Source organism: Homo sapiens, chromosome 2 (assembly GCF_000001405.40).
Source record: "Homo sapiens chromosome 2, GRCh38.p14 Primary Assembly".
Classification (NCBI taxonomy): domain Eukaryota; kingdom Metazoa; phylum Chordata; class Mammalia; order Primates; family Hominidae; genus Homo; species Homo sapiens.
In genome coordinates, this window is record NC_000002.12 from 172,371,209 (window position 1) to 172,382,776 (window position 11,568).

General features: G+C 43.7%; 4 annotated features.

The window, feature by feature from the left end:
- Nucleotides 5,373–5,667: a silencer, noted in NCBI's record as "tiled region #14975; HepG2 Repressive non-DNase unmatched - State 23:Low". NCBI's record gives its function as "represses a minimal TATA promoter and a strong SV40 promoter by Sharpr-MPRA in HepG2 cells {active_cell/tissue: HepG2}" and the evidence as "EXISTENCE:reporter gene assay evidence [ECO:0000049][PMID:27701403]".
- Nucleotides 9,331–9,840: an enhancer, noted in NCBI's record as "OCT4-NANOG-H3K27ac hESC enhancer chr2:173245267-173245776 (GRCh37/hg19 assembly coordinates)". NCBI's record gives its function as "activates a minimal SCP1, AML or CMV promoter by ChIP-STARR-seq in primed H9 embryonic stem cells {active_cell/tissue: H9 hESC(primed)}" and the evidence as "EXISTENCE:reporter gene assay evidence [ECO:0000049][PMID:30033119]".
- Nucleotides 9,841–10,352: an enhancer, noted in NCBI's record as "OCT4-NANOG-H3K27ac hESC enhancer chr2:173245777-173246288 (GRCh37/hg19 assembly coordinates)". NCBI's record gives its function as "activates a minimal SCP1, AML or CMV promoter by ChIP-STARR-seq in primed H9 embryonic stem cells {active_cell/tissue: H9 hESC(primed)}" and the evidence as "EXISTENCE:reporter gene assay evidence [ECO:0000049][PMID:30033119]".
- Nucleotides 10,473–10,642: an enhancer, noted in NCBI's record as "experimental_55951 CRE fragment used in MPRA reporter constructs". NCBI's record gives its function as "activates a minimal promoter by MPRAs in K562 erythroleukemia cells, with activity observed for the introgressed 2:173246494 variant allele {active_cell/tissue: K562}" and the evidence as "EXISTENCE:reporter gene assay evidence [ECO:0000049][PMID:34662402]".

Consider the following 11,568-nt stretch of genomic DNA (forward strand, 5'->3'; position numbering starts at 1 on the left):
GCTTAGCCTATGCCCAGGAATGAACAAGGAGAGCCAGCCCTTGAGGCTAGCAGCAAGATTGAGTCAGCTATGCTGGATTTCTCTCACTGTCATAATCATTGCAAAGGTGGCTTCAAATAGATTTCAAAGACACTTTGGGTAGTATTGTGCTAGATAATATCAACCCTTTCTTTCAGTGTCAGTTAAGATATCACTTCCTCCCAGAGGTCTTCCTGACCACCCTTCCCCACCCCACATCTGAACTAGGTGGTCTCATAGAATCCTGTGTGTCCCCCTATCAGAACACGAATCAAACTGTGTTTGAAATGGGTCTGCCTTGCTGATTTGGGGGTGCTGCCATTGCCTCTAAGTGTGTCAACCTTTTGCAAACATTCAGGGCTCCAAAGTCAGTAGTCATCACAATCCCTTCTGTAAACCAGTTGGCCAAAGGAGGTAAGTCTGTATGTGAAGGAAGAAATGCTGTTTGTCATTAAATTTAAGATGTCTTAATACAAAAATTAGCTGGGCATGGTGGCGGATGCCTGTAATCCCAGCTACTCAGGAGGCTGAGGCAGGAAAATCGCTTGGACCCAGGAAGTGAAGGTTGCAGTGAGCCAAGACTGCACCATTGCACTCCAGCCTGGGCAACAAGAACGAAACTCAGTCTCAAAAAAAAAAAAAAAACCCAAAAAACCAAAAAAATCCCCCATGAATTGTAAAGTGCATCCCTAGTTCAGTAATGTGAAAATAACAATTTTAAGACATGGGTTTGGTGTGGTGGTTCAAGCCTATAATCTGAGCACTTTGGGAGGCCAAGGTGGGAGGATCCTTTGAGCCCAGGAGTTTGAGACCAGCCTGGGCAACATAGGGAGATCCTGCCTCTACAAAAAAATAATGAAAATAGCAACCAAACATAGTGATGTGAACCTATGGTCCCAACTACTTGGGAGGCTCAGTTGGGAGGATTACTTGAGCCTGGGAGTTCGAGGCTGCAGTGATTGTGCCACTGCACTCCAACCTGGGTGACAGAGTATTCCAGAGATGGTACAGTATGTGTGTCTTTGAATTGATAACATGTGGGTGTTAAAATCTCAATCATCTGTCTTTTGAGTAAAGTCTCAATTGTCTGTCGAAAGACGATTTTGTAGAAAAGGATAAAACATAAAGTAAAGTATATTTACATTTAAGATTATAAATACCTCTGCCAAAAGAGAGTATTTGTGGCTTCTTGTAATCCTTTGCAGATATTGTCACTAATCTCTCCTTCATTCCTCCAAATTATGTGTGTACTTGGTATTCTTATTTCCTCATCCCCATCTTATCCCTCAAGTAAGTAAAGCCCTGGATACCTGAGTTAGTTAGTTATCCAAGACTTTGCAGTGAGTGAGTCAGAGAGGAATGAAATTTCTGTTCTCCTTACCCCCAGGTAGCATTGCCTAGAGCCATGCTGGGAAGATCACTCTGTAAGACAAACCAGGAAACCTAATTAACAGGACAGGTCTGGTCCTGACTATACATTATTTTCATCTTCATATGGATGACTGATGAGGGGTGGCTATGACAGAGCTATCTGTATTGTCTGATCTGGGAAACTGTTTCTTTGAAAAGCTCATAAATTGACCTATTAAGACTATTATCTGTGTTCCAGAACTAAATAAAAGCCACAGCTGGAGACTCCAGTAATATGTAAACATGAATCTATATAAATTTGAATGTAAAATTGCCCAGAAATTTCTTGATGGACAAATTTTTATGTATGTTTTGCTTATCTATAACTGATCTCATAGCTTCCCTTGCTTACTGGGTATCATTATATAATAATTAGTGTGTTTATATGTGTTGAAGTATCTGCTAACTAGAATGATTTGGGATTTATCCAGCTTGATCCAAAAACAAATTTGGCCAGAGCTTTGATAATCCCTGCCTTCTAGGGATATCAATATATAAATAGTTCATATTAATATTTAGGAAGACAACAGACAAATGGCTGTTAAGAATGCCAAGACTTCCAGATAGACTAGTGATGCCAGAAATAACGAGTGGAATCTCAGGAGTGCAGAACATTTAGAAAATTATAGGTCTAGAAGATGTGTTATTTTCCTGATAGTAGAAAAACATGTTGCCGTAGAAACAATATTAAAGTGACCATTAGAGTCCCGAGCCTTCCCACAAACACTTGTGTAGCCTACGTTGAAGCTACCCTCTTATCCTGATAGTCCTAACCTGATTTCTGGCTGCTAGGACTCAGGGACTGGGAGGAGGAAGGAGGAGAAAGAAGGCGTTTGCCTTGCACCTTCTTTTCTTCATGTCTTTTTCTTCCTGGACCCCCCTCCAGGCAGCAGTGCTCACGAGCTGCTTTATCTAGACACTACCCAGGCTTGCTCCTTTTCCCCAAGGCCCCCAAGCATCTCAGTGACTTCCCTCCTTTTTGCCCAAATGAAACTCTTATTCCCTCTTGGCAACGGAAAGCAATCAGACTTAATTGATTGGCACCAATTTGTGTTTAACTGATTATTCCCTATATTCATCTATTCTCTAGGTCTGAATTTTAAAAAAATATTTTCCAAACTTTGTCCAATGGGTGGACTATAGGCAGGGAAACAGTAGTGAAAAATATTTAGTGTGTGTAGAAGGAGGATGATATTTAAACACATACTCATAAACACAACAAAGTATATGAGTTATGGTTTTCAGATGTCAAGCAACAGAAACAAATGCTAATTCAAATATAAAAGGCATGAACTTGATGGTTGTGGGGTGACTCACAGAATCAAAAGGAAAGTTGAACAATTAGGACAGACGGGAATCGTGAAGTTTGAGTGGAAGAGGAAGATGTGTTCTAAGCAGAACTGATGAGTGATATCTTACCAAATCAACTCCAACAGTCATTTTATCACTTGGCTAAACATTCAGATACCTGAATAGTCTCGCTTGGGTCAGAGACCTTCTGCTTAGCTGGGACTGGGCAAGGCACCTTGATTGATGGTCCCAACCAAGGGGAGAAGGTGGTTCACTAGGGTAAAACTAGGGTTCCATTCCTAGAAGAGTGGATAGACACTGGTTGGATGGCTCACTCTCTGCTAAGTGCTGTAGGTGCCAATCTCCTTGACCAGCTGTGCCTGGGATGGTGTCCGTGAGTTCAGTCTCCTACTCTCTACTTTTCACAGCTTCTACCCTTTTAGAACCCACAGCTGATCCAAATCAGTTCATACAACAGCTCTTACAAAACAGCAACACCGATAAAGTGCCTGGTTAGCTCGTCCTGCCCCCAGTCCCCACTGTACAGGTCCCTGGAAAGTCTGACTGCTTTGTGGGAGCTAAGGGCAATGGACTGGGTTGGTATCCAGGTTGCACTTTTTATTTTGGTCCTCTGGGCAGTGTTCCAGTTAAAATGAGAAAAACAGGATTAATTCTAGTGACGTTTCATCCCCTCATAGAAGTATGGAGTCCTTCCTTTGTGACTACCATGGATCTGGCCTCTTAGAATGTGGAAAAGCCCTTGCTTTGCCCAAGGTAGCCTTTCTAGCAGGTGGATCTCAGAATTACTGTATTAAAAAAAGTCTAATTAATGACCAACGGAAGGAACAGTGACACAGATTAATATTTAACCTGTTGGAAAGAGTAACTGTGTGTTTGGGGTTTAGTAACAGATCTGCAGCACAGGTTAACTCAGTCTCTGCCTCATCAGCACTCCTTAGGTCGCTCTGTTCCCTAGACCACAGTCTTTCCTTGACTTCATTCCCCACCCCTATTCCTCTATGAGGAACTCAGGAGGAAACATGGAAGCCAAGCCTCAAACTGAGACTCGCTAGCCAAAGGCAGAGCTGAGTTTAAGTTTAATATTTACTCAGCCAGGAAATACTCTAATTAAGCCTTGCTCTTTAAATCTTAAAGCTCCACCCTGGAAGGACAGAAATGAGCTCTCCCAAAGGGTTTCATCCTGGGGATGAGGAATCCTTTTTCCCCTACATCCAAATATTTCTGAGATGGGGTTAGGCAGGTCTTCTTTCCAAGTTCAAAAGGCATAACTAAGATTGTGGGTTGAATTTCCATGGGATACCCAGATGGCTTCCAGAAAAAGAGCTGGCTGTGTAGATCCCTAATTCCAGACAGCCAGAAAGGATTCACTGAATATCTGGAGCAAAAGGAGATTTTCAATGCAGGGAGGCAGTTTAGTATAAATATAGGAGCCGAAGTCAGATGTCCTGGGTCAAATCCTGGTCCCGCCACTATTTTCTGTGTGACCTTTGAGTGTGACTCATATCTCTAAGCCTTAGTTTCCTCATGGGGAAGTTGCAGTAACAGTATCTACCTCATTGGACTCTGGAGAGAATTAAACAAAATAGTCCATGTAAAGTGCTTAGTACATAATAAGTGCTTAAAGAATATCTGCTATAAGTTATTTGACCATTCATTCAAAAAAAATGACTTGTGCCTAAAATGTACCAAATAATGTGTAAGATAATGGTACATATAGAGATATAATGGTATGTATAAAACTCCTTTTTTCTGAAGAAGCTCACAGTTTAGTGGGGAAGCTAACATAGAAGTTATTCTTCTATGTTGTAATAATTGCGACAGAAAAGGTATATAAAAGTACTATTAACGTGCTTATTAGAGGAGAGAGAGTTCCTTCTATGAAGAATTTCAGGAAGGCTTCATGGTGACATTTAAGCTGTGTCTTTAAGAAAGTTTTAGAATTTTTCATGCCCAGAAAAGAGGATCAACTATTCCAGAAAGGAGGAACATCCTAAGCAGAAGCACAGCAATGAGAAAAATCTCAGTGTGTTTGGGAAGCAACAAAAAATTTGGCTGGAGTACCAGGGTGCAAGGTGGGTTTGGTAGGCAGTGGAGTTGGAAAGTCAAGGTTAAGGATGTCATGGGCCATGTTAAGATGTTTAGACTTTATTTTGCATGATCAGTGTTCCATTAAGGAAGATAATTTTACTGTGGCCATTATGGGAGTATTTACATCATGGGTATTGGCAAGCACTACAAACCTGGCCTTTTTATTCCACAGAGTTGGTTGTTAAACATTTACCAGCATACCACTGCATGTGCACACATGCGTGTAAATGTGCACGGACACACACAGACGTACACACACACACACACTGCCCCAGGATAGATTTCTTCAATTTTTAAAATACAGGTGGTGTCACCTTTACCGTATGTCTCAGCACAACATATCAAGGAAAACGCTGTCATGCATTGAAATATTGTAGTATGTGCATCATTCACAATTAGAGTTTCTTACCAAGATATTTATCTGTCTCCCTTTTGCAGTAAATAATGACATTACTAGACATACAGTACTTAGATTTCTCCCCAATCTCCCTTTAAGGAATTCCTTATTGTGAGGGGCCTCACCCAAATAAGAAACCTGTACCTACTTTCTTAGGTGTAGTGTTTTTTCCCTATTTTAAGACCACAGTTAAGAGCACTTCCGGCACAGAACCAGAAGTCTTGCCAATTTCCCAAGTCCTTGAAACAGTAATCACTCAGTAGCCAAGGATAAATTTACATTGGATGACTCTTTTGGCCTTTCTCACTAACAGAAATATATTTATTAATTCAGTGGCGTCACTGTAATATTATTTCCTTGCTTAGTACAATTAGGCCAAGTGTAAGCTTAAAATAGAATCAAATATTGAATACATACTGTTTTAAGGCTGATGTAATATCTTTCTTTTTGCAAGCTCCGATTGAACATGCATATTTAACAGACCAGCCATACGGTGTTGGTGGGGGTGGGGGCAGCCAATGCTTTAGACTTTTAATCTACTTAATGGGAGAAAGGTTAGACATAATTAAATATCTTTAAGCTTGAATCTTTCAGTGCAATAAGTAAATGAATTAAATCTATCCAGGGGATAAAATAGAAACATTTGTCAAGGTAGCAATTTGGAAAGCGTAAGTCTCCTTCTAGTCAAACTTAAAATGTCTTGGCATCTTGGCCAAATGCCTGAAAGATATGTATCAGCCTTAGCATATTCTTAATAATAGCACTCATAAAAAGAGAGCATGAAAAGATGAATTCCCTCTTCTTTGAGCCCCAGGATTTTCCTTTTTATGTTTTTGGTCTCCATATTATCCTATGAACTTGCTGGAAGAATGTTGGAGGTCCCAAAAGCAGCCACACCTTGAGTGGCAAAGGTGAGGCATTCAAACTCGGGCACCCTGAAGAATTTTCTACACCTGATAGATAGCTAAAATGCAGTATGGAGGACAGGCAAACATTGCTTTGAGAAGACTATATTTTCCTATAAGAAGAAAGTGCTTGGTTCCTGAAATGACTAGGTTTCCACTTGGGCAGTAGAGCAGAATTCCAGGAAGGTGCTCGCAAGCATGACATCCTGCTGCCTCAGATACTATCTAGAGCCACTGTCCCGAGATCCTGGTTCCAGCTCAATGTAGAATTCTCAGTGTTGGTGGAAGCTGACATCAGTCACTCCTCTCTGCTACTTTGCCTGAGAAGACTGTGGTCCAAACAGCTGCCTTTGCTAATGTAGCCTTGCATCCTGGCCCTACACTGTTCTGCCCTGCCTGTTGACTAGGAAATAATGCATCTACTTGCTAGCCAATAAAACAAACTAGGTACACAGGATTCCTTGCGGATAATTCCCTAAGATAGTACTATGTCTGCAGAGAGATCTGCACTGCTATGAGCAGTGATCAGAAGGCTAGAGGAAGGGAGGGAGTGATAGGGAAGAAGAGAGGGGGCTCAGTAACCAGGGCCCCACATAAAGGCAAATCACATGGTGTCATGTGAAAGTAGCAAGAATTTCCATTAGCTGCTCTGATGCCTCGCCTCTAATATCCCAGAGGTCCCCTGTAACCTAAAATTTTAATCTTGGCCATTTCTTTGCTTCTCAGAATTAGGAAATGGAGGACAGATGGTGACCAAGAGATCTTTCCCCACCTCCACTGCTTGCTCAAGCTCTTGGTCTCTCTCTCCTTCTCCCTCTCCCACACATGTACAAATGCACATACACATGACAGACCTACACTTGTGTGTGTGTGTGTGTGCGTGTGTGTATATATACACACACGCACACACATATATATATATATTTTTAGACTAAGTCTCGCTCTGTTGCCTAGGCTGGAGTGCAGTGGCGTGATCTTGGCTCACCACAACCTCTGCCTCCTGGGTTCAAGTGATTCTCCTGCCTCAGTCTCCTGAGTAGCTGGGACTACAGGCATGTACCACCATGCCCAACTAATTTTTGTATTTTTAGTAGAGATGGGGTTTCACTATGTTGGCCAGGCTGGTCTCGAACTCCTGACCTCATGATCTGCCTACCTCGTCCTCCCAAAGTGCTGGGATTACAGGCATGAGCCACCGCTCCCAGCTTGTGTATGTATTTGTATAAGTCCTGATATTAGAGTTTGTTTCTGATTATGTTTTGCATTTTAACAGATATTTTTCTGGATCTCTGCTTTAAGAACACTGTATTGTCCTTTCTAATGATGACCTATGTCTGTGATCTTTCATCTCCATGTTTATTTTGAGCCACTGTTTCTTGATGCTAAGTTTTTAACATTTTACATTTTCAATTCTATCAGTGTGCTCTACATAACAGAGCTTGTTTGGGCCAAATACCCATAAAGAGAGTGTTTGCTTAACAATACAGTAGATTCTGTGTTTCCCTATTGACTCACCTCAAGCCCTGGTGCATGGAATATCTTGGCCTCACGAGCTACCTGGTAACCATCAAAATCACCTTATTTGACTGGGGGTATGAGGAGTGGGGGAAGAAGAATATGGTATGTAAGCTGTGATGACCAAGCCAAGGCCTTCCCTGGGCTCAAACTATATAAGAGACAATTGTCCCAGAGGAAATGCAAGGGTATGCATTTACCATGAGGTCCAGAGGATGGAGAGGCAAGTTCCTGAGTGATGCAGGGGAGGGGCAGACAGAACTGCAGTTTGAAGGTGGTTACCCAACACCAGGGGTCTCCAGGTGGTTCCCCAGGTGGAAGCCAAAGGATGGCTGTTCCTTTCACCAGCTGGGGAGCCGAATGGCACTACTTTCTGCCCATTCCTGGATCAAGCGCTCCCTATGGCCAGTCCCCATGATGGCATTGTCTTTGAATCCCTGGACATCCTATTTCTGGAATGTCTGCCCAGTTTCCTATGGCCTTGAGCATTTTCTTCCCTGTGTTGTAGAGAGGTAACTCAACCCAGTCATCTATTGTACTTTTCCAGCATTGTCTGTGAAGTAACAGAGATGAAACTAAGAAATGTGTGTGGCTGACATGGTGCCAGAGGGTCTCCACAGCCATGCATGCCTTTGTCCAGACTAGTGGGCATTGCTAGGCCTGAGATACTCGTGAAGGTCCTTGTATTAGTCCATTCTTATGCTGCTGTAAGGACATAACCTGAGACTGGGTAATTTATAAAGGAAAGAGTTTTAATTGACTCGAAGTTCCACACAGCTGGGGAGGCCTCAGGAAACTTACAATCATGGTTGAAGAGGAAGCAAACATGTCCTTCTTCACAAGGCGGCAGGAGAGAGAAGAATGTGAGCCAAGTGAAGGGGGAAGCCCCTTATAAAACCATCAGACCGGCCAGGCGCGGTGGCTCATGCCTGTAATCCCAGCACTTTGGGAGGCCAAGGCGGGTGGATCACGAGGTCAGGAGATCGAGACAACCCTGGCTAACACAGTGAAACCCCATCTCTACTAAAAAAAAATACAGAAAATTAGCTGGGCGTGGTGGCGGGTGCTTGTATTCCCAGCTACTCGGGAGGCTGAGGCAGGAGAATGCCATGAATGCAGGAGGTGGAGCTTGCAGTGAGCCGAGATCACGCCACTGCACTCCAGCCTGGGCAACAGAGTGAGCCTCCGTCTCAAAAAAAAATAAATAAAACCATCAGATCTCGTGAGAACTTACTCATTATCATGAGAATAGCATGGGGGAAACTGTCACCATGATTCAATTACCTCCCACCAGGTCCCTCCCACCACATGTGGGGATTATGGGAACTACAAGATGAGATTTAAATGGGGACACAGCCAAACCATGTCAGTCCTCATGGATGGGATCCCCAAGAAACAAGCCAGGGATCTGAGCTGCTGAGAATTCAGACACAGGGATGAGCCCCCTCATCCTTGTTTTAACAAGCCCTGAGTTTGTTAAAAGTCTATGAGAAGCTGCTCATTTCCAACTGCAACTTTCACATATCCACTCATCCTTAAAAAAAGAGTAGATGAAACTCAAACTCAAAGAGCTGGGCTCTTTCATGCCAAAAGTTCCCCAAACCTGTGAAACCCTTCCATGCAGCTTTCTCCACTGGCAGGACTTTGCACTTGGAGGTGATGACCCTGAGCTTGCATCATTTGTGATTTCTATTTAAAGGCAAACCCCAGACAGAGAAATATTTGCCATAAATTGTTACAGCAACATGACATATGGCTTTTCTGCCACTAAGGTCACACTGCCATCGGCCTCTCACTTCCTCCTCAATTGCTTGTTCATTCCACAAGGTTTCCTCAATTTCAGCAATTCTTGTGGTGCAGATCTGCCTGCCCAGCCATTTATCACCAGTAATAACAAGGAGAGTTGTGATGTTTTACATCTCTACACAATGATCTGAGTCTTGGAAGGCTTCCCAAACCCCCTTGCCCCTCTGCCTGGCCAGGCAGGGCCTCTTTTCCTTTCTTAGTGTGACATATCAGCAGTTTAGATGCAGGGCTCTCCCGCTGGGTAGGAGCTTGTAGGTCACAGCGACATCCAACAGATTCATTAACATAGCAATCGCAGGAGAGAAAAGAAGCCCAGGCGATTCTGGTGAATGCTGAGCCTTGTTCTAAATTCTCATATAGAATCTCCATAGAACCAGGAAGGAGGGAGAGATCTGAGGCTCTGTTTTGCAAAAGAATTTCGGAGAGCCACCAGCTTGGAAATGAAGCTTATCAGGATGGAAAGAAAGCCACGCATTGCAAAGCCCTCCTGCAAACAAGCTCAGCTCTGGGGAGAAGGATATTAACTAAAATAACAGCACGTGGTAGTCAACAAGTTCCCTAGCTGTGCCTTCACTGAAGCAGGTGAAAGTATTTTAAAATGTTGAATGAAGTGGGGGGAGGGGAACCCAGATAAAGCCAAGAATTCCTTTACTCTCTGCCAGTGGTTCTGTGAATTATTCCGTTGGAATACTGTGCCTTCTCTCCAGCCCTGTGTTTCAGAATCAGGGGACCTTCCTGCAACCTACGGACATTTCCATAGATTTTGATGAACCTACCCTGGTGTCAGGGGTGGGCAGAAGGATGTGTTAATCAAAAACAAACTGAAAAAATGCATCTTTTGAGGAAGCAGGTCTGTGTGCCTTCATCCATCTGCATCTTGCCTGTGAGTGGCCTTCTAGACAGGCACCCATAGCTGGCTGACACAGTGGCCTATGAGTGTTTGCCTGTCAGGGATAACTCTGGGGTAGTCCACAGCCAACAGAAAGCCTCCACACTTAAGGAAGGTCTGAGCAGTGGGCCATCTTGAACTCATAACCACATTTAGGGAACAAAAGCTATGCATAGAGATTTAAGGAATTAAAAACTCAGAAAAAAAGAACAACAATGGGATTGAAATGAGAGGGGACTGCTTTTTGCTACTGTCAAAGGCATGTGAACCAGAGCAGCTCCATCTTGAATAGGAGCTGGGCAAAATGAGGCTGAGACCTACTGGGCTGAATTCCCAGACAGTTAAGACATTCTAAGTCACAGGATAAGACAGGAGGCAGCACAAGATACAGGTCATAAAGACCTTGCTGATAAAACAGGTTGCAGTAAAAAAGCTGGCTAAAACCCACCAAAACCAAGATGGCCACGAGAGTGACCTCTGGTGGTCCTCACTGCTACACTCCCACCATCACCATGACAGTTTACAAATGCCATGGCAACATCAAGAGGTTACCCTATATGGCCTAAAAAGGGGAGGCGTGAATAATCCACCCCTTGTTTAGCATAGCATCAAGAAATAACCATAAAAATAGGCGGCCTGGAGCGGTGGCTCACACCTATAATCCCAGCAGTTTGGGAGGTCGAGAAGGGGGGCGTTGATCATGAGGTCAACAGATCGAGACAATCCTGGCCAGCATGGTGAAACCCCATCTCTACTAAAAATACAAAAATTAGCCAGGTGTGGTGGCAGGTGGCCTGTAGTCCCAGCTACTGGGGAGGCTGAGGCAGGAGAATTGCTTGAACCCAGGAGGCGGAGGTTGCAGTGAGCTGAGATTGCACCACTGCACTCCAGCCTGGGCGACAGAGTGAGACTCCGTCTCAAAACAAAACAAAAATAGGCAACCAGGCTCACGCCTGTAATTCCAGCACTTTGGGAAGCCAAAGCGGGTGGATTGCCTGAGATCAGTAGTTCAAGACCAACCTGACTAACATGGTGAAACCCCATCTGTACCAAGAATACATAAATTAGCCAGGCATGGTGGGACACACCTGTAGTCCCAGCTACTGGGGAGGCTGAGGCAGGAGAATCGCTTCAACCTGGGAGGTGGAGGTTACAGTGAGCCGAGTTGGCACCACTGCACTCAGCCTGCACAACCCAGCGAGACTCCGTCTCAAAAAAAGAGAAAAAAA